Genomic DNA, 25,210 nt, shown 5'->3' with positions numbered 1-25,210 from the left:
TGAGAGCAGACAACCCATCTGACCAACATTTATTAGGCGGGAATTTCCTTGTCCTGATAAGGCTGGGAGCGCCACGCGAACCCAGGGCTTATTTCATCCCTTATCTATGACTGTAAAAGACAGCCGTCCCCAAAGCGGCCATTTCAGAGGCCTCCCCTTAGGGATGCATTCTCTTTCTCAGGGATGTTCTTTGCTGAGAAAAAGAATTCAGCAATACTTCTCCTATTTGCTTTTGAAAGAAGAGAAATATGGCTCTGTTCAACCCGGCCCACTGGCAGCCAGAGTTTAAGGTTATCTCCCTTGTTCCCTGAAATTGCTGTTATCCTGTTCTTTTTTCAAGGTGCCCAGGTTTCATATTGTTTAAACAACTTGTGCAGTTAACGCAATTATCACAGGGTCCTGCGGGGACATTCATCCTCAGCTTACGAAGATGACCGGATTAAGAGATTAAAGACAGGCATAGAAAATCACAAGGGTATTGATTGGGGAAGTGATAAGTGTCCATGAAATCTTCACAATTTATGTTCAGAGATTGCAGTAATGACAGGCCTAAGAAATTATAGAAGTATTAATTTGGGGAACTAATAAATGTCCATGAAATCTTCACAATTTATGTTCTTCTGCTGTGGCTTCAGCCAGTCCCTCCGTTTGGGGTCCCTGACTTCCTGCAACACGTTTCTCTCTACTCACAGACTTCTGACCAAATGTGTGTGCAGAGTTTCTACACCAGTTCTCCAACTCTCTGGATACCAACCGCGTATCCCACAATTCCATTCTGACACTACCTAGAGTTAGCACAGAACCCACAGGTTAGGGGCTCAGTCCCACAAGACCACCCTCACTTCAGATGCCAGTTGCAAGTCCTAGGTTGTCACCTGTATTTTGACCAACCAGTTAGAAATCAGGGTTTCCCATGACCCTCTTGTTGAGTTTAATTATTTACTAGAACAACTCACAGAACTTAGAAAAACAAGTTTTTTTTTCTTTTCTTTTTAAGAGACAGGGCCTCGCTCTGTTGTCCAAGCTGGTGTGCAGTGGTGCAATCATAGCTCATTGAAGCCTCAACGTCCAGAGCTCAAGTGATTCTCCTGCTTCAGCCTCTCAAGTAGCTGGAATTACAGGGTTCCCACCACCACATTTGGCTAATTTCTTTTATTTTTTGTATAGATGGGGTCTTCTTATGTTGCCCAGGTTGGTCTCAAATTCCTAGGCTCAAGTGATTCCGCCCACCTCTGCCTCCCAAAGTGCTGGGATTACGGGCATGAGCCAGCGCATCTGGCCACCTTATTTTCTATTACTGGCTCAATGTAATGGCTCCATCTCAGGAACAGCCAATGAAAGAGATGCACAGGACAAGGTAAGTGGGGAGGGGCACAGAGCTTCCATGCCCTCTGTTGGGCACACTACCCTCCCAGGACCTCCTTGTGTTTAGCAACACAGAAGCTCTCCAAACCCTGCTGTTTGGGTGTTTATGGAGGCATGATTGATAAAATCATTGGCCATTGGTAGTTAAGTCAATCTCCAGTTCCTTTTGCCTCCTGGAGTTCAGCAGGTGAGGCTGAAAGTTCCAAGCCTCAAAAAATGTGGTTGGGGCCAGGTGCGGTGGCTCACTCCTGTAATCCTAGCAGTTTGGAAGGCTGAGGCACATGGACCACTTGAGGTCAAGAGTTTGAGACCAGCCTGACCAACATGGTGAAACCCCATTTCTACTAAAAATAACAACAGTTAGCTAGGCGTTGTGGCACATCCCTATAATTCCAGCTACTCGGGAGGCCGAGGCAGGAGAATTGCTTGAACCCGGGAGGTGGAGGTTGTAGTGAGCTGAGATTGTGCCATTGCACTCCAGCCTGGGCTACAAGAGCCAAACTCCGTTTTAAAAAAAAAATGTGGTTGCTTTCTCTGGCAGCTAGCCCTCCTCCTGAAGCAGTCTCGGAGCTTGCAGCCACCCTGTTAGCTCAACAGCATCCCACATGCATTCTTACCATGCTGCAGATCTGAAAGACCTTAGAGGCCCTTGTGTCAGGAACCTGGGACTAAGACTAAATATCAAAACAGAAAATGCTCCTATTACCTCTGTCACGAAGGGCTTTATAAGAGCTTTGGAAGCTTTATGCCAGGAACCAGGGGCAGAGACCAAATGTATATTTCTTTTCTTATATCGGAGACAGAGTCTCACTCTGCCACTGAGGCTGGAGTGCAGTGATGTGATCATAGCTCACTGCAGCCTTGACCTCCTAGGCTAAAGCAATCCTCCCACCTTAGCCTCTCCAGTAGCTGGAACTACAGGCATGCATCACCATGTCCAGCTGATTTTAATTTTGTAAAGGCAGGATCTTCCTTTTTTTCCCCAGGCTGATCTCTAACTCTTGGCCTCAAGCAATCCTTCCTCTTTGGCCTCCCAAAATGTTGGGATTACAGATGGGAGCCCCCATACCCACCAATCACAAGGATCTTTATAAGAGAATGAGGTAGGAGAGTCAGAATTAGAGAAAGTGATGTGGTAATGGAAGAAGAGGTCAGAGAGGGAGATTTGAAGATGCTGCACTTCTGGCCTTGAATATGGAGTCACGAGGTAAGTCAAGGAATGGGGGTGGCTTCTAGAAGCTGGAAAAGGCAAAGGAGCACATTCTTTCTAGAGCCTCCCCCAGAAGGAATGCAGCCTCTCTGACACCTTGACTTTAACCTTAATAGACCTAGTTGGGCTTCTGGCCCCCAGAACTGTAAGATGGTAGATTTGTGGTGTTTGATGCCACTAAATGTAGGGTACTTTGTTGTAGCAACAACAAAAAATGAACATGAAGCTGGGACCTCATGTTACGGTTGCTCACGCCTGTAATCCCAGAACTTTAGGAGGCTGAGGTGGGAGGATCGCTTAAGCCCAGGAGCTTAAGACCAGCCTGGACAACATAATGAGACCTCATGTCTAAAAAAAAATTTTTTTAAAGGCCAGGCGCAGTGGCTCACGCCTGTAATCCCAGCACTTTGGGAGGCCGAGGAGGGTGGATCACGAGGTCAGAAGTTCAAGACCAGCCTAGCCAAGATGGTGAAACCCCATCTCTACTAAAAATACAAACATTAGCCAGGTGTGGTGGTGGGTGCCTGTAATCCCAGCTACTTGGGAGGCAGAGAATCACTTGAACCCAAAAGGCAGACATTGCAGTGAGCCAAGATCGCACCCTTACACTTCAGCCTGGGCGACCGAGACTCCATCTCAAAAAAAAAAAAAAAAAGCCATGTGTTGTGGCATGCAGCTGTAGTCTCAGTTCCTAGGGTGGCTGAGGCGGGAGGATTGTTTAAGCCTGGGAGGTTGAAGTTGCTGTGAGCTGTGATTGCACCAGTGTACTCCAGCCTGGGCAATAAAGCAAGACCTTGTTTCAAAAAGAAAGAAAGAAATGAGCATGGTGGGAATGGGGACAGATGGCAGTGTTAAGTAGAGTGGTCAGGGTTGGCCTCATAAGTGAATATTGAGCAAAAGTTTGAAGCAGGTGATGGAGCTGGCCAAGGTGCTGAGGGAAGAGCATTGTAGGCTGAGTCAACAGGATAAAGGCATTAGGAGGAAACTCTCTGGTGTGTCTGAGGCTCTGGAAGGAGGCCAGTGGAGCAAAGAGATAGAGGGAGCGAAGTCAGCGAGGTGGCCAGGGAGTTGCTGGGCTGGGATCGGTACAGATCGTGTAAGCCCTGGGACGCTATTGCTGGGGCTTTGGCTTTTACTCTGACTAAAATGGGAACCACCGAGGGCTTCTGAGCAGAGAGGCGACATGATCCGTCTCCTGATTTAAAAGCACGACCTGGCTGCCGAGTTGAGAAAGACTATGGGAAGATTTGGGTAGAAGCATGGGAGCCAAGCTGTGGCAACATCCCGGTGGGAGATGATAGTGATCCTGACGGGGTTCATGGTGGTGGTGAGAGATGGTTAGAGCCTGGATACATGTTGAAGTCAGTCAGTAGGATTTCCTGACAGACTGGATGTGAGCTGTGAGAGAAGGCAGTGGTCAAGGTTGAGTTTGATTCTGATTGAATTATTAAGTAATTTTAAAAAACACTACTGCTTTTCCCAATCCTACCAAGTAAAGGATGCTAGATAAAAGAAATCCCAAGTCAGGCCAGGTACAGTGGCTCACACCTATAGTTCCAACAGTTTGAGAGGCAGAGATGGGAGTATGTTTTAAGGCCATGAGTTTGAGAGCAGCCTGGGCAACACAGCAAGACCTCCTCTCTACAAAAATAAAAAAAATAAATTTAATAAAATAAAATAAATATAGCCAGGCATGATGGTATGTACCTATGGCCCCAGTTACTCATGTGGCTGAGATGGGCAGATCTCTTGATTCTAGGAGTTTGAGGCCAGCTTGGGCAACATAGCAAGTCTTCTCTCTCTACAAAAATGAAAAAAATGCCTGACATGGTGGTACTTGCCTGTATTCCCAGGTATGGGGGCAGCTGAGGCAGGAGCATCTCTTGAGCCCAGTTGGTCAAGGTTGCAGTGAGCTATGATTATACCACTGCACTCCATCCTGGGTGACAGAGTGGGACCCTGTCTCAAAATACAAATACAAATGAAATCTCAAGTCAGACCAGTCCCTTCTAGGCTATGTAGGCCTTGTAACCACATAGCTGCATGATCGGGTTTGTGTGGCTGTGGATGAGGAGACCCCTGTCCAATTGTTGGCTATGTAATCAGTTTATTTTTCAATATAGTAATCAAATATATTTCATCATACTTGATGGTCTCAGATATGTGTGGATTTTGGAATTCCCCTTGGAACAGGTTGTAACATCTTATTGGCTCCATAATTCCATAATTTTTTTAATCTGATCAGTTTTTAATAAGATCGCAATTTATATTAGACTACTTAATCGGTTTTGTTAATGAGAAAATGAAATTGTGTTGTTTGCATTTTATCCAAGATGGGTGTCATATTGGGTAAATCTCATCAATACTTGAACAAATGCAAAATTAGAGCTTCTTTATCATGAAACACGATGTAATTCTTGAAGAAGATGCCATTTCTTTTTTTTCTTTTTTTTTTTAAGATAAGAGTCTTTCTCTTGTCACCCAGGCTGGAGTGCAATGGTGCGATTTTGGCTCACTGCAACCTTCACCTTCTGGGTTCAAGCAATTCTCCTGCCTCAGCCTCCCGAGTAGCTGGGATTACAGGTGCCCGCCACCATACCCAGCTAATTTTTGTATTTTTAGTAGAGATGGGATTTCACCATGTTGGCCAGGCTCCTCTGGAGCTCCTGACCTCAGGCAATCTGCCTGCCTCAGCCTCCCAAAATTCAAGGAGTACAGATGTGAACAACCACGCCCGGCCTCCATTTCTTTTTTGTAGTCTTTAATAAACAGCTGCTATCATTGCAGACTTGCTGTTTAGGCACTTAGGAATTTTTCACTAGAAGGCATGTAAATAAAGACCATGGGCAATTGTAATGAATTTCGCCTTCATTCTTTGACTACATGACTGTCCCCAGAGCTGTAACTTTATTGAATTTTTTAGAAGCCATTTAGCTAGCAACTGAGCCTAACCAGCCACTCACCGTCATTATTCAGTGCTCTTTTATTATTGTCTATTTCTCCTCCAACTTGGCTACACTCACAAAGTGATAAAAACTTGCATTTGTTTTCTTTCCTTTTCAGAGATGGCATCTTGCTCTGTTGCTTAGGCTACAGTACAGTGACATGATCATGGTTCACTGTAGCCTCAAACTCCTGGGCTCAAGTGGTTCTCTCACTTCAGTCTCCCAAGTAGCTGGGACTACAGACATGTGCCACCATGTCCAGGTAATTTTTTATCATAGAGACGAGATCTTGCCATGTTGCTCCGACTGGGCTCAAAACTCCTGACCTCAAGTGATCCTCCTGCCTCAGCCTCCCAAAGTGCTGGGATTACAGGCAGGCATGACCACCTGTGCCCAGCCCCCTATTATTATTATTTTAAATAATAGCTTTATTAAAATATTCACATACCATTCACTTTATTTATTGAAATCTGCAATTCAGTAGGTTTTAGAATATTCACAGAGCTGTGCATCGATCACCACAGTCACTTTTAGAACCTTTCATTACCCTATAGAGAAATCCATACCCCTTAGCCACTACCTCCTACTCTCCCCACCTACCTTTGCCCCCAGCCTTAGGCAACCATTGATTAATTTTTTTGTCACTATAGATTTGCCTAATCTGGACAAATAGAATTGTACAATATGTGATCTTTTGTGGCTTTTCTTCCCTCTTAGCACAGTGTTTTCAAAGTTCCTTTATGTCATAGTGTGTATCAATATTTCATTCCTTCTATGGCAGTATTCCATGGTAGAGACACACTGCATTTTGTTTATCTGTTCATCAGTTGGTGGATATTTGGGTTGTTTCCATGTATTCCATGTATTGGTCATTATGAATAATGCTGCTATGAAGATTGTTGTACAAGTTTTTGTGTGGACATATATTTTTATTTTTCTGGGATATATGCCTAGGAGTGAAATTGTTGCATTATAGGATGACTGTACATTTAGCCTTTTGAGAAACTGCCAGACTGTTTTCTAACGTGGCTATACCAGTTGGGTGCAATGGCTCACACCTGTAATCCCAGCTACTCAGGAGGCTCAGCTAGGAGGATGGCTTGAGCCCGTGAATTCAAGACCAGCCTGGGCAAGATAGTGAAACCCCGTCTTGATTTTTTAAAAATCCAATTAAAATGACAAGAAAAGAAATACCCAAACAAAATGGTTACACAATTTTATGTTCCCACCAGTAATGTATGTGGGTTCCAATTCCTCCACATCTTCACTGACATTTTTTTTTTCTAGATAGGGGCTTGCTCTGTCTCTCAGGCCGCAGTGCAATGATGCCATCACAGTTCACTGCAGCCGTGACCTCCCAGGCACAAGTGATTCTCTCATCTCAGCCTCCTGGGTAGCTGAAAATTACAGGTGTACGCCACCATGCCTGGCTAATTTTTAGATTTTTCTGTAGTGGTGGGATTTTACCATGTTGCCCAGGCTGGTCTCATACTCCTGGCCTCAAGTGATCTGCCCACCTCAGCCTCCCTAAGTTCTGGAATTACAGGCTGCCACCATGCCCGGCCTTCACCAACATTTGCCATTATCTGTTTTTTTTTTCTTCCTTTATACCTTAAAGCAGTATAAGAACAAGTGTCTTCAATTATAGGAAACAGTATAATCCCAGGGCTTTGGGAGGCTAAGACAGGAAGATGTCTTGATGCCAGGAGTTTTTTTTGTTGTTGTTGTTTTTGTTTTTGTTATTGTTGTTGTTGTTTTTGACAGTCTCGCTCTGTCACCCAGGGTGGAGTGCAGTGATGGGGTCCACTGCAACCTCCACCTCCCAGGTTCAAGTGATTCTCCTGCCTCAGCCTCCCGAGTAGGTGAGACTACAGGTACACGCCACTACTGCCCAGCTAATTTTTGTATTTTTGATAGAGTCAGAGTTTCACCGTGTTGGCCAGGCTGGTCTCGAACTCCAGACTTCAGGTGATTTGCCTGCCTTAGCTTCCCAAAGTGCTGCGATTACAAGCATGAGCCACCATGCCCAGCCTGATGCCAGGAGTTTTAGACTAGCCTGGGCAACCTAGCAAGACCTTGTCTCTACAGAATATTTAAAAATTAGCCAAATGTGGTGGTGCCTGTGTATAGTCTCTCTCCCTCTTTTTTTTTTCTAACTTTTTGTGACATGGTCTGGCTCTGTCACCCAGGCTGAAGTGCAGTGGTGTGATCATGGCTCACTGCAGCCTGAAACTCCTGGGATCAAGTGATCAATCCTCCCACCTCATCCTACCAAGTAGTAGGGACCACAGGTGTATGCCACCCAGGTCTTGCTATGTTGTCCAGGCTGGTCTTGAGCTCCTGGCCTCAAGCAATCCTCTCACCTTGGCCCCCCACAGTGCAAGGATTACAGGTATGAGCCACCATGCCTGGCCCCCTACCCTGCCTACTGAGAACCAAAGGAAGGATCCAAATTCTCCTTAGCTCAACTCGAGCCATTTCCTGATTGCTTCATCAGCGAGGAGCTGGTTATTGGGCTGTCCAGGCCTCCCAAGCAGCACAGAAATGAGGTGAAGGAGTTTTCCTGTTGCTCCACTCTGTAAGGAGTTGGAGGGTGATGTTTACTCGTTTGCAGAGAGAGATGCCTTGTAGGCACCTCAGGATGGAGAGGGTCCTGATTCCAATGTCCTTTTTTTCTTCAGAAACAGGACCTTGCCCTGTCACTCAGGATGGAGTTCAGTGGTCCTATCATGGCTCATTATAGCCTCAAACTCCCAGGCTCAAGCAATCCTACCATGTCAGCCTTCCCAGTAGCTGGGACTACAGGTAAGCATCGTGACACTCAGTGAATTTTGTTTTTATTTTGTTGTAGAGATGGGACCTCAGTATGTTGCCATGGCTGACCTTGAACTCCTGCACTCAAGGGATTTTCCTACCCTGGCCTCCCAAAGTATTGGTATTACAGGCATGAGCCATTGTGCCCACCGTCTCTGGTTCTTAACCTTCTGCCTCCCTCTTCCAGTTTTAAAGAATGCTTGTAATTACATGGGCTCTCCTAGATACTCCAGGATAATCTTGTTTTAAGGTCAGCTGATGAGCAACATTAATTTTATCTGCACTCTTAATTCCCCCTTCCTATGTAATTGTGCTGTGTAACATAGGACATGAGCAATTGGTGGCGGTGGGGGTTATTACTTTGGCCACCACAGTAACTATTTTATGCCAGGTACTCAGCTAAGCACTGGTGAATTAAGCATGAATAACACACACTCCCTAATCTCCATCCATTCATGGGAGGAGCACTTCACCTGCCATGCTCCTGAGAATCTCGGGAGTCATAGAAGTCTTCTATGAGGAGGTGATGCCAAAGCGGACAAGTGACAGAGGAGTCAAAGCTAGCTAGGAAGAGAGTAGAGGTTTAAGGGGAAGCATATTATAAGCAGAGGATATTACCCACTTCAGAGACTCCCAGAGGAGAAAGAGTGTGCGTTCAAGGGGCAGATGAGGCTCAGTTGGACTCCATAGCAGATGAAATGGAGAGGGGCAAGCAGTGAGGCTGCCTTGCAAGGCAGGGCAGAGCAGGGGCTGTTAAGGAGTTTGGACTTAATCCCTGAGGCAAGGAGAAGTGATGTAAATGGGGGAGTAACATGATGAGATTCATAGATTAGAGACATGGCTCAGGCTGCTGTAGAGAAGGCACCAGGAAGAGCAGATGGCTCAATGTGTGTGCAGAAGACCTCTCCCTGAGTTTAGGGAGAGGTTTTTAAAACAGAAGAAGTTTGAGTAATTTAAATGATGATGGGAAGGAGCTAAAAGTGGGGGATAGGTTAAAGATACAGGAAAGTGGGAGGAAGAACTGACAAGTGAGGTTCCAGAGAGGGCAGGAGAAGAGGAGATTCCCATAGGGGGATTAACACTTTCTTTTCTTTTTTCTTTCTAAGACAGGGTCTCACTCTGTCGCCCAGGCTGGAGTGCAGTGGCACAATCTTGGCTCACTGTAGTGTAGACTTCCCAGGCTCAAGGGATTTCTCCCACCCCAGACTCCCAAGTAGCTGGAACTACGGGTGTGCACCACCACCACACCTGGCTAATGTCTCTTTTTTTTGGTAGACACAGAGTCTCACTATTTAGCACTGATTGGTCTCCAACTCCTGGCCTCAAGCGATCCTCCTGCCTAGGCTTCCCAAATTGCTGGGATTACAGGCATGAGCCACAATGCCTGGCCTCTGCTAGTTCCGTATTCTCTAGAGTTGTCTTTACTTTGTGCTAGTGTGTCCCTCATTGTGCTGATCCTCTGTAAAAATTAATACCTTTTTTTTTTTTTTTGAGATGGAGTTTCACTCTTGTTGCCCAGGCTGGAGTGCAATGGTGCTATCTCGGCTCAGCGCAACCTCCACCTTCTGGGTTCAAGCAATTCTCCTGCCTCAGCCTCCCGAGTAGTTGGGATTACAGGCATGTGCCACCATGCCCAGCTAATTTTGTATTTTTAGTAGAGATGGGGTTTCTCTGTGCTGGTCAGGCTGGTTTCGAACTCCTGACCTCAGGTGATCTGTCTGCCTTGGCCTCCCAAAGTGCTGGGATTACAGGCATGAGCCATTTTGCCTGGCCAAAATTAATACTTTTTATATTAAATTTACATATATATATATATATACGTTTTTTCTTTTTGATACCGGGTCTCACACTGTCACCCAGGCTGGAGTACAGTGGCACAACCTCTGCTCACTGCAGCCTCCACCTGCCAGGCTCAAGCAATTCTCCTGCCTCAGCCTCCCGAGTAGCTGGGATTACAGGTAAGTGCCACCACACCCAGCTGATTTTTGTGTTTTTTGTAGAGACGAGGTTTCACCATGTTTCCCAGACTGTTCTCAAACTCCTGAGCTCAAAGCAGTCCACCCACCTTGGCCTCCCAGAGTTCTGGGATTACAGGTGTGAGCCATCTTGCTCATTCTAGTTTAAACTTTTGAGTGGTTTGTGTCTCCTGATTGGACTCCTACAAATACAGAATTGATGCTAGGAAGGGTACCAGGAGATAGACGCACACAGATGGGATTTGGGAATAGGTTTGGTTATCCAAGGAGCAGTGCTGAGCTCCTTGCAATGGGATATGGGATGCTGGTGATTTCCAGGAAGTGAGCTCACAATGACTCAAGCTGCCACATACTGTTGATTGTGAAATGCCAGTTGAAGCATATGTCCTGCGAGCTTGGGGGTGCTACAAGTTGACCACTGCAGCAGTAAAGATGACTCTGAAGAATGGCGTGGGATGGTTCCTTTCAAATGCACTTGAGCAGCGGTCTCCAACCACAGGGCCACAGAGCTGGAGGTGAGCAGCAGGCGAGTGAAGGGAAACTTCATCTGTATTTCTAGCCCCTCCCATCGCTTGCACGACCACCTGAGCTCCATGTCCTGTCAGATCAGCAGCAGCATTAGGTTGTCATAGGAGCACAAACTCTGTTGTGAAGTGTGCATGCGAGGGATCTAGGTTGTGTACTCCTTATGAGAATCTAATGCCTGATATTCTGTTACTGTCTCCCATCACCCCAGGTGGACAGTCTAGTTGCAGGAAAACAAGCTCAGAGATCCCACTGAGTCTACGTTATAGTGAGTTGTAGAATCATTTCATTATATATTACTATGTAGTAATAATAGAAATAAAGTGCACAATATATGTAATGCACTTGAATCATCCTGAAATTATTCCCTCATTCCCAGTCTGTGGAAAAATTGTCTTCCACACATTCACTCTGTTTTTTGGTAGAGGCAGGGTCTTAATATATTGCCCAGTCTGATCTCAAACTCCTGGCCTCAAGTAATATACCTCTCTCAGCCTCCCAAAGTGCTGAGATTACAGGCATAAGCCACCACCCTCAACCAAGACTTTCTTAAACCAAATAAAAATTAAGTGAGATTACTTGAGCCCAGGTGGTCAAGGCTGCAGTGAGCCTGATTGCACCACTGCACTCCAGCCTAGGTGACAGAATGAGACTGTCTCAAAAAATAAAATAAAATACAAATTAACCCTTCATGACATTCCCAGTAACTTCCTAAGTGCTCCCCACAAGTCTTTGAATTCTGTTTAATTTTCACATGACATTTAAGACATTTAAGAACTTATGTCTGTCTGTGTCATCCCTTTATGTCAAAAGATGTCTTTTTGTCACTTCCAGCTGGATCTACCATGAAAGACTTGTGAATCCAGGAAGAGAGACTGACTGGGCAACATGTTATTCAGGTACAAAAAGATTTGGACTGTAACTTAAAAATGATCAAATTATGTTTCCCATGCATCAGGTGCAATGGGAAGCTCTTCTGGAGAGTGAGAGAAGCTTCCAGTTAAGGTGACATTGAAGCCAAGTCCTGAAAGATGAGGAAGAGTTGTATGAGAGTGGGGAGGGAAGGGGGAGGTGGAGGGATGGGGAATGGGCCGGGATGGGATAGCGCAAACTGCCCGGGAAGGGAAACCAGCACTGTACAGACCTGAACAACGAAGATGGCATATTTTGTTCAGGGAATGGTGAATTAAGTGTGGCAGGAATGCTTTGTAGACACAGTAATTTGCTTGTATGGAATTTTGCCTGAGAGACCTCATTGCAGTTTCTGATTTTTTGATGTCTTCATCCATCACTGTCCTTGTCAAATAGTTTGGAACAGGTATAATGATCACAATAACCCCAAGCATAATATTTCGTTAATTCTCACAGAATCACATATAGGTGCCACAGTTATCCCCATTTTATGAATGGAGTGATGAAAACCTTAGGAATAATGAATGATTTGCGCAGGCTCACCTGGATATTAAGACTGAGTCAAATGTTGGGTCTGGTCTGACTTTAATGTTTGCTTTGTTCATGAGCACCACATATTGCCTCTCCTATGCAGTTAAGCAGGTAGGTGACAGAAAAGCCCATGTTTGTCTCTACTCACACACTTCCGACTGAATGTATGTATGGAGTTTCTACACCAGATTCTTCAGTGCTCTGGATATTAACTGGGTATCCCATGACTTTATTCTGACACTACCTGGAGTTAGCACAGACCCCACAAGTTAGGGGCTCAGTCCCACGAGGCCATCCTCACTTCAGATGACAATGGCAAGTCCTAAGTTGTCACCATACTTTTGACCAACCTGTTACCAATCGGGGGTTCCCGTAACTGTCTTCTTGGGTTTAATAATTTGCTAGAACAGTTTACGGAACTCAGAAAAACAGTTTATTTTCTTTTTTTCTGAGAGAGAGGGTCTTATTTTGTTGCCCAGGCTGGTGTGCAATGGTGCAGTCATAGCTCATTGCAGCCTTGATTGTCTGGGTTCCAGTGGTTCTCCCACCTCAGCCTCCCTAGTAGCTGAGACTACATGCCTGCACCACCACATCTGGCTAGTTTCTTTTATTTTTTGTATAGATGGGGTCTTGTTGTGTTGGCCAGGCTGGCCACAAATTCCTGGTCTCAAGTGATCCTCCCACCTCAGCCTCTGAAAGTGCTGGGATTACAGATGTGAGCCACCACATCTGGCCAGTTCATTTCCTATTACTGGTTCATTGTGAAGGATACATCTCAGAAACAGTCAATGAAAGAGACGTGCATGCTGGATGCAGTGGCTCATGCCTGTAATCTCAGCACTTTGGGAGGCCAAGGTGGGAGGATCGCTTAAACTCAGGAGTTTGAGACCAGCCTGGGCAACATGGTGAAAACCTGTCTCTATAAAAAATTAAAAAATAATAATAATAACTGGTGTGGTGTTGTGCACCTAGAGTTCCAACTACTAGGGAAGCTGAGATGAGAGGATACCTTGAGCTGGGGACTGGGGAGGCTTAGGTTACAGTAAGCTGAGATTGTGCCACTGCACTCCAGCTTGGACAAAAGAGCCTGATCCTGTCTCAAAAAAAAGAAAGATACCCAGGGCAAGTTAAGTTCGGAGGGGCACAGAGCTCCCATGCCCTCTGTTGAACATGCGACCCTCCCAGCATCTCCTGTGTCCAGCAACCCTGAAAGCTCTGCAAACCCCTTTCAGGGTGTTTATGGAGGCTTTATTATGCAAGCATGATTGATAAAACCTTTGGCTGTTGGTGATTAAGTCAGTCTCCAGCCCCTCTTCCCCCTGGAGTTCAGTGCATGAGGCTGAAAGTTCCAAGCCTCTTACCATGTGGTTGCATGGTAATCAGCCCTCCTCTTGAAGAAATTTAGGAGCTTGCAGTCACCCAGTCATCTCAACAACATCCCCAAATGCATTCTTACCATGCTGGAGATCCCAAAGTTCTTAGAGGCTCTTGTGTTAGAAACCTGGGACCAAGATCAAATATTAAAACAAAAGATGCTCCTGTCACATCTATCACTGAGGTCTTTGTAAGAGCTTTAGAAGCTCTGTGCCAGGAACCAGGGACAGAGATTAAATATATATTTCTTTTCTTTTTTTTGAGACAGAATCTCCCTGTGCCATCCAGGCTGGAGTGCAGTGATGTGATCATAGCTCACTATAGCTTTGGCCTTCTGAGATCAAGCAATCCTCCCATCTCAACCTCCCAAGTAGCTAGGACTACACATGCATGTCACCCATGCCCAGATCATTTTTGTAGAGTCAGAGTTTCACCGTGGTGGCCAGGTTGGCCATGTTGGCCAGATGGGGTCTTCTTTTGTTGCCCAGGCTGGCCACAAATTCCTGGGCTCAAGTGATCCTCCCACCTCTTCCTTGTAGAGATGAGATTTAGTTACGTCGTCCAGGCTGATCTCAAACTCCTGGGCTAAATCGATTGTCTCACCTCAGCCTCTCAAGTTTGTTATGAAGGTTATATGTTAGGAAGGGTCCCAGGAGGTAGACCCACACAGATGGGATTTGGGCATAGGTTTGGTTTCCCAGGGGGCAGTGCTGAGCTCTTTGCCAGTGGGAAATGGGATGCTGGTGATTTCCAGTAGGTGACCTCACAGTGACTCAAGCTACCACTTACTGTTGATTGTGACGAAATGCCAGCTGAGGCACATGCCTTGGGAGCTAAGTGGTTGCTGCCCTTGACCACTGTGAAGACTGGTGTGGGAAGGGTCGTTTTGGATGCACTTGAGCAGGGGTCCCCAACCCCTGAGCCATGGAGCCGCAAGGAGCCACACAGCAGGAGGTGAGCGGTGTCGAGTGAGGGAGTGAGGGAAGCTTCGTCTGTATTTACAGCCACTCCCCTTTGCTCACATTCCCACCTGAGCTCCACCTTCTCAGATGAGCAGCAGCGTTAGATTCTCATAGGAGAACGCACCCTGTTGTGAACCGTGCATGTGAGGGATCTAGGTTGCGCTGTCCTTATGAGAGTCTAATACCTATTGATCTGTCACTTTCTCCCATCACGCTCAGGTGGGAACATCCAGTTGCAGGAAAACAAGCTTAACACGCCCACTGATTCTACATTATGGTGAGTTCTATAATTATTTTATTATATATCACAGTGTAATAATGGAAATAAAGTGCCTAATAAATGCAAATGTGCTTACATCTTTTGGCCCAGCTCCTACCTCCCGGCAGCCTCTCCAGGCCCAGAACTTTCTCCAGTCAGCCTCTACAGACCAAGCTCATGACTCACAATGGCCTATTTAGGCCCATACCCTACGTCACGGCAGCCTCCGCAGATGAGGCTACTGCCTCACAACAGCCTCCACAGGCACAGCTCCATCGTTACAATGGCCTCTTTAGACCCAGCTCCTGCCTCCCAGCCTTCTCTCCAGGCCCTGAACATTCTCAGTAAGTTCAGGTAGCTGGGACTGTAGGTATACATGACGATACTTGGCTAATTTTTAAATTGTTTTGTAGACACGGGGTCTCACTTTGTTGGCCAGGCTGGTGTCAAACTAATGGCCTCAAGTGACCCTTCCACCCCTGCCTCCCATCCTCGAGGCATGTGCCACCACAAGGAGCACTTGTTCAATTTTCTAAAAAAAAAATTTCTAAAGTAAGGCTGTGGGATGATGGCAGGAAGATAAAAGAAAAACAGAAGAATAAGTTAAAATGACTTATTCACGCATATTCTTTTGACAGCAAGAAGAACTTTTAGTATATACATTCCTTACAAACAAACAAAAGGCAGATAAACAATGTTGTATAGGAACTTCAACACACACTGTACAATATTCCCACTTTGCTGACATAAGTTATGGAAATTTCATGGTTTACTTGAGTGTCGCTACCAGTATTTTGCTTCTCTGATGATTTTTATCAACTTCCTCATCTGTTAACTTCTCTCCAAGGTATGTCATGTCACGACATACTGCCGCTGCACGAACATGGCCAGTGTCTTCCTATTCAACATGTAGAATGCTTTCCTAATTTCTCTTTTTACTCTCTGTCTTTGTGTTCTGCATTTTCCTTACTTTTATTGTCAGAAACTCCAGAAAGCCAATCGTACTAATTTATCACGATTTGCTTTATTAATTTATACTTTGCTTATATGGAATTTTGCCCAGCAGACCTCATCACAGTTTCTAACCTGTTTTATTTATTTATTTTTTTTTTTCTGAGACAGGGTCTCCCTCTGTTGTCCAAGGCTGGAGTGTAGTAGTGCTATCGCAGCTGACTGCAGCCTCAACCTTCCAGGCTGAAGCGATCCTCCCACCTCAACCTCCCACGTGGCTGAGACTACAGGTGCTTGCCACTATGCCCAACTAATATTTGGAATTTTCGTATACGTGGATTCCAGAGGGGTGACAGCAAAACGTGAGTAAGCATGGATTTTGGTATATGCAGAGATGGGGGGCTGGAACTAATTCTGTATACTGAGGGACGACGACTGTATATGTTTTTACAATTACGCTGTAGGATACATACTGTTGCATAGCCTTGAAAATAATAATTTTTAATTGAGTGGAATAAGAATAATATTGATAAAAGTAGCAGCTGGCCAGGTGTGGTGGCTCACACTGGTAATCACAACACTTTGGGAGGCTGAGGCAGGAGGATGGCTCGAGGCCAAGAGTTTGCGATAGGCCTTGGAAACAAAGGGGGAGTCACCATCCCTACAGAAAAATACATGAATTAGCCTAGTGTGGTGGCATGTTCCTGTAGTCCCAGCTACTTGGGAGGCTGAGGTGGGAGGATCACTTGAGCCCAGGGAGGCTGAGACTGCAGTGAGTCATGATCAGGCCTCTGCACTCCAGCCTGGGTGACAGAGTGAGACCCTGTCTCAAAACAACAAAAAAGTAGCAGCCAACATCAACTGACCTTTTGTACCAGGTGCCTATTGATACCATAGTTTAATTTCTTATAACTGTTTCTTATTTCACTTACCAACTCTGTCTTCAGTTACTCCCAGATTTTTACTGTGTGTGTACAGATGACCTTTTGTTTAGACTGAATTGTCTCCCCAGAAGTAAGATTACTGTGAGTCATGGTGAATGGACATTCTCCTTACCCTTGATGTAAATTGACAGGGTTTTGGGTGCCTCCCAGCTATAATCTTAGCACTTTGGGAGGCTAAGAGAGGAGGATTGCTTGAGGCCAAGAGTTGGAGGAGGCAGTATGGCAGTATGGTGAGACCCTGTCTCCATTATTTTAAAAAATTGACAGGCTTTACCCTGGAAGGCTTATACACAATTTAACCACCCCTCATAGTATAAGAAAGTGCCCATTTCACTGCACCTTTGCCAGCACAGGGTATTATAATTTAGTAAGTCATTTTTTGTTTGATTATTTTACATAGACAAAAGAACTCATATTACTTTACTTGTCACATTTCAACATCTTTCCTCAGCTTATTAGCTCTATTTCTTTTCTGTCTGTAAATGGTTGTTGCTGTTTTGGTCTTTGAGACAGGATCTTGCTCTGTCACCAGGCTGGACTGTAGTGGCATAATCATGCCTCACTGCAGCCTTGACCTCCCAGGCTCAAACTTCAGCATTCCGAGTAGCTGGGACTACAAGTGTGCACCACCACCCCCAGCTAACTTTTTTCTTCTTTTGGATAGAGACAGGGTCTCACTGTGTCGTCCAGACCGGTCTCTAGCTCCTGGCCTTAAGCAATCCTCCTGCATTAGCTTCTGAAATTACTGGAATTTCAGGCATGAGCCACCATGCCTGGCCTGGGCTAGTCCCATATTCTCTAGAGTTCTGTTTACTTTGTGCTAGCCAATCTCTCATTATGCTGTTCACCTGTTATAATGAATAATTCTCTGTATTAAATTTTACCACTTTAAACTTTTGAGTGGTTTATGCTTCCTGATTGGACTCTGACTAATATGTTAGGAAGGGTCCCAGGAGGTAGACCCACACAGATGGGATTTGGGCATAGGTTTGGTTTCCCAGGGGGCAGTGCTGAGCTCTTTGCCAGTGGGAAATGGGATGCTGGTGATTTCCAGTAGGTGACCTCACAGTGACTCAAGCTACCACTTACTGTTGATTGTGACGAAATGCCAGCTGAGGCACATGCCTTGGGAGCTAAGTGGTTGCTGCCCTTGACCACTGTGAAGACTGGTGTGGGAAGGGTCGCTTTGGATGCACTTGAGCAGGGGTCCCCAACCCCTGAGCCATGGAGCCGCAAGGAGCCACACAGCAGGAGGTGAGCGGTGTCGAGTGAGGGAGTGAGGGAAGCTTCGTCTGTATTTACAGCCACTCCCCTTTGCTCACATTCCCGCCTGAGCTCCACCTTCTCAGATGAGCAGCAGCGTTAGATTCTCATAGGAGAACGCACCCTGTTGTGAACCGTGCATGTGAGGGATCAAGGTTGCGCTGTCCTTATGAGAATCTAATACCTATTGATCTGTTACTTTCTCCCATCACGCTCAGGTGGGAACATCCAGTTGCAGGAAAACAAGCTTAACACGCCCACTGATTCTACATTATGGTGAGTTCTATGATTATTTTATTATATATTACAGTGTAATAATGGAAATAAAGTGCCTAATAAATGCAAATGTGCTTACATCTTTTGGCCCAGCTCCTACCTCCCGGCAGCCTCTCCAGGCCGAGAACTTTCTCCAGTCAGCCTCTACAGACCAAGCTCATGACTCACAATGGCCTATTTAGGCCCATACCCTACGTCACGGCAGCCTCCGCAGATGAGCCTACTGCCTCACAACAGCCTCCACAGGCACAGCTCCATCGTTACAATGGCCTCTTTAGACCCAGCTCCTGCCTCCCAGCCTTCTCTCCAGGCTCTGAACTTTCTCAGTAAGTTCAGGTAGCTGGGACTGTAGGTATACATGATGATACTTGGCTAATTTTTAAATTGTTTTGTAGACACGGGGTCTCACTTTGTTGGCCAGGCTGGTGTCAAACTAATGGCCTCAAGTGACCCTTCCACCCCTGCCTCCCATCCTCGAGGCATGTGCCACCACAGGGAGCACTTGTTCAATTTTCTAAAAAAAAAATTTCTAAAGTAAGGCTGTGGGATGATGGCAGGAAGATAAAAGAAAAACAGAAGAATAAGTTAAAATGACTTATTCACACATATTCTTTTGACAGCAAGAAGAACTTTTAGTATGTACATTCCTTACAAACAAACAAAAGGCAGATAAACAATGTTGTATAGGAACTTCAACACACACTGTACAATATTCCCACTTTGCTGACATAAGTTATGGAAATTTCATGGTTTACTTGAGTGTCGCTACCAGTATTTTGCTTCTCTGATGATTTTTATCAACTTCCTCATCTGTTAACTTCTCTCCAAGGTATGTCATGTCACGACATACTGCCGCTGCACGAACATGGCCAGTGTCTTCCTATTCAACATGTAGAATGCTTTCCTAATTTCTCTTTTTACTCTCTGTCTTTGTGTTCTGCATTTTCCTTACTTTTATTGTCAGAAACTCCAGAAAGCCAATCGTACTAATTTATCACGATTTGCTTTATTAATTTATACTTTGCTTATATGGAATTTTGCCCAGCAGACCTCATTACAATTTCTAACCTGTTTTATTTTGTTTTTTTTTCTGAGACAGGGTCTCCCTCTGTTGTCCAAGGCTGGAGTGTAGTAGTGCTATCGCAGCTGACTGCAGCCTCAACCTTCCAGGCTGAAGCGATCCTCCCACCTCAACCTCCCACGTGGCTGAGACTACAGGTGCTTGCCACTATGCCCAACTAACATTTGGAATTTTCGTATACGTGGATTCCAGAGGGGTGACAGCGAAACGTGAGTAAGCATGGATTTTGGTATATGCAGAGATGGGGGGCTGGAACTAATTCTGTATACTGAGGGACGACGACTATATGTTTTTACAATTATGCTGTGGGATACATACTGTTGCATAGCCTTGAAAATAATAATTTTTAATTGAGTGGAATAAGAATAATATTGATAAAAGTAGCAGCTGGCCAGGTGTGGTGGCTCACACTGGTAATCGCAACACTTTGGGAGGCTGAGGCAGGAGGATGGCTTGAGGCCAAGAGTTTGCGATAGGCCTTGGAAACAAAGGGGGAGTCACCATCCCTACAGAAAAATACATGAATTAGCCTAGTGTGGTGGCATGTTCCTGTAGTCCCAGCTACTTGGGAGGCTGAGGTGGGAGGATCACTTGAGCCCAGGGAGGCTGAGACTGCAGTGAGTCATGATCAGGCCTCTGCACTCCAGCCTGGGTGACAGAGTGAGACCCTGTCTCAAAACAACAAAAAAGTAGCAGCTAACATCAACTGACCTTTTACCAGGTGCCTATTGATACCATAGTTTAATTTCTTATAACTGTTTCTTATTTCACTTACCAACTCTGTCTTCAGTTACTCCCAGATTTTTACTGTGTGTGTACAGATGACCTTTTGCTTAGATTGAATTGTCTCCCCAGAAGTAAGATTACTGTGAGTCATGGTGAATGGACATTCTCCTTACCCTTGATGTAAATTGACAGGGTTTTGGGTGCCTCCCAGCTATAATCTTAGCACTTTGGGAGGCTAAGAGAGGAGGATTGCTTGAGGCCAAGAGTTGGAGGAGGCAGTATGGCAGTATGGTGAGACCCTGTCTCCATTATTTTAAAAAATTGACAGGCTTTACCCGGGAAGGCTTATACACAATTTAAACACCCCTCATAGTATAAGAAGGTGCCCATTTCACTGCACCTTTGCCAGCACAGGGTATTATAATTTAGTAAGTCATTTTTTGTTTGATTATTTTACATAGACAAAAGAACTCATATTACTTTACTTGTCACATTTCAACATCTTTCCTCAGCTTATTAGCTCTATTTCTTTTCTGTCTGTAAATGGTTGTTGTTGTTTTGTTCTTTGAGACAGGGTCTTGCTCTGTCACCAGGCTGGACTGTAGTGGCATAATCATGCCTCACTGCAGCCTTGACCTCCCAGGCTCAAACTTCCGCATTCCGAGTAGCTGGGACTACAAGTGTGCACTACCACCCCCAGCTAACTTTTTTCTTCTTTTGGATAGAGACAGGGTCTCACTGTGTCGTCCAGACCGGTCTCTAGCTCCTGGCCTTAAGCAATCCTCCTGCATTAGCTTCTCAAATTGCTGGAATTTCAGGCCTGAGCCACCATGCCTGGCCTGGGCTAGTCCTATATTCTCTAGAGTTCTGTTTACTTTGTGCTAGCCAATCTCTCATTATGCTGTTCACCTGTTATAATGAATAATTCTCTGTATTAAATTTTACCACTTTAAACTTTTGAGTGGTTTATGCTTCCTGATTGGACTCTGACTAATATGTTAGGAAGGGTCCCAGGAGATACACCCACACAGATGGGATTTGGGCATAGGTTTGGTTTCCCGGGGGCAGTGCTGAGCTCTTTGCCAGTGGGAAATGGGATGCTGGTGATTTCCAGTAGGTGACCTCACAGTGACTCAAGCTACCACTTACTGTTGATTGTGACGAAATGCCAGCTGAGGCACATGCCTTGGGAGCTAAGTGGTTGCTGCCCTTGACCACTGTGAAGACTGGTGTGGGAAGGGTCGCTTTGGATGCACTTGAGCAGGGGTCCCCAACCCCTGAGCCATGGAGCCGCAAGGAGCCACACAGCAGGAGGTGAGCGGTGTCGAGTGAGGGAGTGAGGGAAGCTTCGTCTGTATTTACAGCCACTCCCCTTTGCTCACATTCCCGCCTGAGCTCCACCTTCTCAGATGAGCAGCAGCGTTAGATTCTCATAGGAGAACGCACCCTGTTGTGAACCGTGCATGTGAGGGATCTAGGTTGCGCTGTCCTTATGAGAATCTAATACCTATTGATCTGTCACTTTCTCCCATCACGCTCAGGTGGGACCATCCAGTTGCAGGAAAACAAGCTTAACACGCCCACTGATTCTACATTATGGTGAGTTCTATAATTATTTTATTATATATTACAGTGTAATAATGCAAATAAAGTGCCTAATAAATGCAAATGTGCTTACATCTTTTGGCCCAGCTCCTACCTCCCGGCAGCCTCTCCAGGCCCAGAACTTTCTCCAGTCAGCCTCTACAGACCAAGCTCATGACTCACAATGGCCTATTTAGGCCCATACCCTACGTCACGGCAGCCTCCGCAGATGAGCCTACTGCCTCACAACAGCCTCCACAGGCACAGCTCCATCGTTACAATGGCCTCTTTAGACCCAGCTCCTGCCTCCCAGCCTTCTCTCCAGGCCCTGAACATTCTCAGTAAGTTCAGATAGCTGGGACTGTAGGTATACATGACGATACTTGGCTAATTTTTAAATTGTTTTGTAGACACGGGGTCTCACTTTGTTGGCCAGGCTGGTGTCAAACTAATGGCCTCAAGTGACCCTTCCACCCCTGCCTCCCATCCTCGAGGTATGTGCCACCACAGGGAGCACTTGTTCAATTTTCTAAAAAAGAAATTTCTAAAGTAAGGCTGTGGGATGATGGCAGGAAGATAAAAGAAAAACAGAAGAATAAGTTAAAATGACTTATTCACGCATATTCTTTTGACAGCAAGAAGAACTTTTAGTATGTACATTCCTTACAAACAAACAAAAGGCAGATAAACAATGTTGTATAGGAACTTCAACACACACTGTACAATATTCCCACTTTGCTGACATAAGTTATGGAAATTTCATGGTTTACTTGAGTGTCGCTACCAGTATTTTGCTTCTCTGATGATTTTTATCAACTTCCTCATCTGTTAACTTCTCTCCAAGGTATGTCATGTCACGACATACTGCCGCTGCACGAACATGGCCAGTGTCTTCCTATTCAACATGTAGAATGCTTTCCTAATTTCTCTTTTTACTCTCTGTCTTTGTGTTCTGCATTTTCCTTACTTTTATTGTCAGAAACTCCAGAAAGTCAATCGTACTAATTTATCACGATTTGCTTTATTAATTTATACATTGCTTATATGGAATTTTGCCCAGCAGACCTCATTACAATTTCTAACCTGTTTTATTTTGTTTTTTTTTCTGAGACAGGGTCTCCCTCTGTTGTCCAAGGCTGGAGTGTAGTAGTGCTATCGCAGCTGACTGCAGCCTCAACCTTCCAGGCTGAAGCGATCCTCCCACCTCAACCTCCCACGTGGCTGAGACTACAGGTGCTTGCCACTATGCCCAACTAACATTTGGAATTTTCGTATACGTGGATTCTAGAGGGGTGACAGCGAAACGTGAGTAAGCATGGATTTTGGTATATGCAGAGATGGGGGGCTGGAACTAATTCTGTATACTGAGGGATGACGACTGTGTATGTTTTTACAATTACGCTGTAGGATACATACTGTTGCATAGCCTTGAAAATAATAATTTTTAATTGAGTGGAATAAGAATAATATTGATAAAAGTAGCAGCTGGCCAGGTGTGGTGGCTCACACTGGTAATCACAACACTTTGGGAGGCTGAGGCAGGAGGATGGCTCGAGGCCAAGAGTTTGCGATAGGCCTTGGAAACAAAGGGGGAGTCACCATCCCTACAGAAAAATACATGAATTAGCCTAGTGTGGTGGCATGTTCCTGTAGTCCCAGCTACTTGGGAGGCTGAGGTGGGAGGATCACTTGAGCCCAGGGAGGCTGAGACTGCAGTGAGTCATGATCAGGCCTCTGCACTCCAGCCTGGGTGACAGAGTGAGACCCTGTCTCAAAACAACAAAAAAGTAGCAGCTAACATCAACTGACCTTTTACCAGGTGCCTATTGATACCATAGTTTAATTTCTTATAACTGTTTCTTATTTCACTTACCAACTCTGTCTTCAGTTACTCCCAGATTTTTACTGTGTGTGTACAGATGACCTTTTGCTTAGATTGAATTGTCTCCCCAGAAGTAAGATTACTGTGAGTCATGGTGAATGGACATTCTCCTTACCCTTGATGTAAATTGACAGGGTTTTGGGTGCCTCCCAGCTATAATCTTAGCACTTTGGGAGGCTAAGAGAGGAGGATTGCTTGAGGCCAAGAGTTGGAGGAGGCAGTATGGCAGTATGGTGAGACCCTGTCTCCATTATTTTAAAAAATTGACAGGCTTTACCCTGGAAGGCTTATACACAATTTAACCACCCCTCATAGTATAAGAAAGTGCCCATTTCACTGCACCTTTGCCAGCACAGGGTATTATAATTTCGTAAGCCATTTTTTGTTTGATTATTTTAAATAGACAAAAGACCTCATATTACTTTACTTGTCACATTTCAACATCTTTCCTCAGCTTATTAGCTCTATTTCTTTTCTGTCTGTAAATGGTTGTTGTGGTTTTGTTCTTTGAGACAGGGTCTTGCTCTGTCATCCGGCTGGACTGTAGTGGCATAATCATGCCTCACTGCAGCCTTGACCTCCCAGGCTCAAACTTCAGCATTCTGAGTAGCTGGGACTACAAGTGTGCACCACCACCCCCAGCTAACTTTTTTCTTCTTTTGGATAGAGACAGGGTCTCACTGTGTCGTCCAGACCGGTCTCTAGCTCCTGGCCTTAAGCAATCCTCCTGCATTAGCTTCTGTAATGGCTGGAATTTCAGGCATGAGCCACCATGCCTGGCCTGGGCTAGTCCCATATTCTCTAGAGTTCTCTTTACTCTGTGCTAGCCAATCTCTCATTATGCTGTTCACCTGTTATAATGAATAATTCTCTGTATTAAATTTTACCACTTTAAACTTTTGAGTGGTTTATGCTTCCTGATTGGACTCTGACTAATATGTTAGGAAGGGTCCCAGGAGGTAGACCCACACAGATGGGATTTGGGCATAGGTTTGGTTTCCCAGGGGGCAGTGCTGAGCTCTTTGCCAGTGGGAAATGGGGTGCTGGTGATTTCCAGTAGGTGACCTCACAGTGACTCAAGCTACCACTTACTGTTGATTGTGACGAAATGCCAGCTGAGGCACATGCCTTGGGAGCTAAGTGGTTGCTGCCCTTGACCACTGTGAAGACTGGTGTGGGAAGGGTCGCTTTGGATGCACTTGAGCAGGGGTCCCCAACCCCTGAGCCATGGAGCCGCAAGGAGCCACACAGCAGGAGGTGAGCGGTGTCGAGTGAGGGAGTGAGGGAAGCTTCGTCTGTATTTAGAGCCACTCCCCTTTGCTCACATTCCCACCTGAGCTCCACCTTCTCAGATGAGCAGCAGCATTAGATGCTCATAGGAGAACGCACCCTGTTGTGAACCGTGCATGTGAGGGATCGAGGTTGCGCTGTCCTTATGAGAATCTAATACCTATTGATCTGTCACTTTCTCCCATCACGCTCAGGTGGGACCATTCAGTTGCAGGAAAACAAGCTTAACACGCCCACTAATTCTACATTATGGTGAGTTCTATAATTATTTTATTATATATTACAGTGTAATAATGGAAATAAAGTGCCTAATAAATGCAAATGTGCTTACATCTTTTGG

The 25,210-nt window shown here is 45.4% G+C and overlaps 1 long non-coding RNA gene across 1 annotated transcript in view; it reads left to right on the top strand.

Moving 5' to 3' along the window:
• LOC100288069 (uncharacterized) overlaps window positions 1–25,210 on the top strand; it is a 52,876-nt gene that overhangs the window by 23,615 nt on the left and 4,051 nt on the right. The window contains exons 10-19 of the long non-coding RNA NR_168328.1: window positions 5,639–5,782; window positions 10,629–10,825; window positions 11,670–11,734; window positions 14,834–14,891; window positions 15,996–16,186; window positions 19,407–19,601; window positions 21,656–21,713; window positions 21,807–22,039; window positions 22,813–23,003; window positions 25,065–25,122. This is a non-coding gene — a long non-coding RNA (uncharacterized LOC100288069). The remainder of the gene's footprint in view (window positions 1–5,638; window positions 5,783–10,628; window positions 10,826–11,669; window positions 11,735–14,833; window positions 14,892–15,995; window positions 16,187–19,406; window positions 19,602–21,655; window positions 21,714–21,806; window positions 22,040–22,812; window positions 23,004–25,064; window positions 25,123–25,210) is intronic.

Source organism: Homo sapiens, chromosome 1, assembly GCF_000001405.40.
Source record: "Homo sapiens chromosome 1, GRCh38.p14 Primary Assembly".
NCBI lineage: Eukaryota > Metazoa > Chordata > Mammalia > Primates > Hominidae > Homo > Homo sapiens.
Note: the sequence above shows the minus strand (reverse complement) of the source record. Positions and strands in the feature narration are given on the sequence as shown.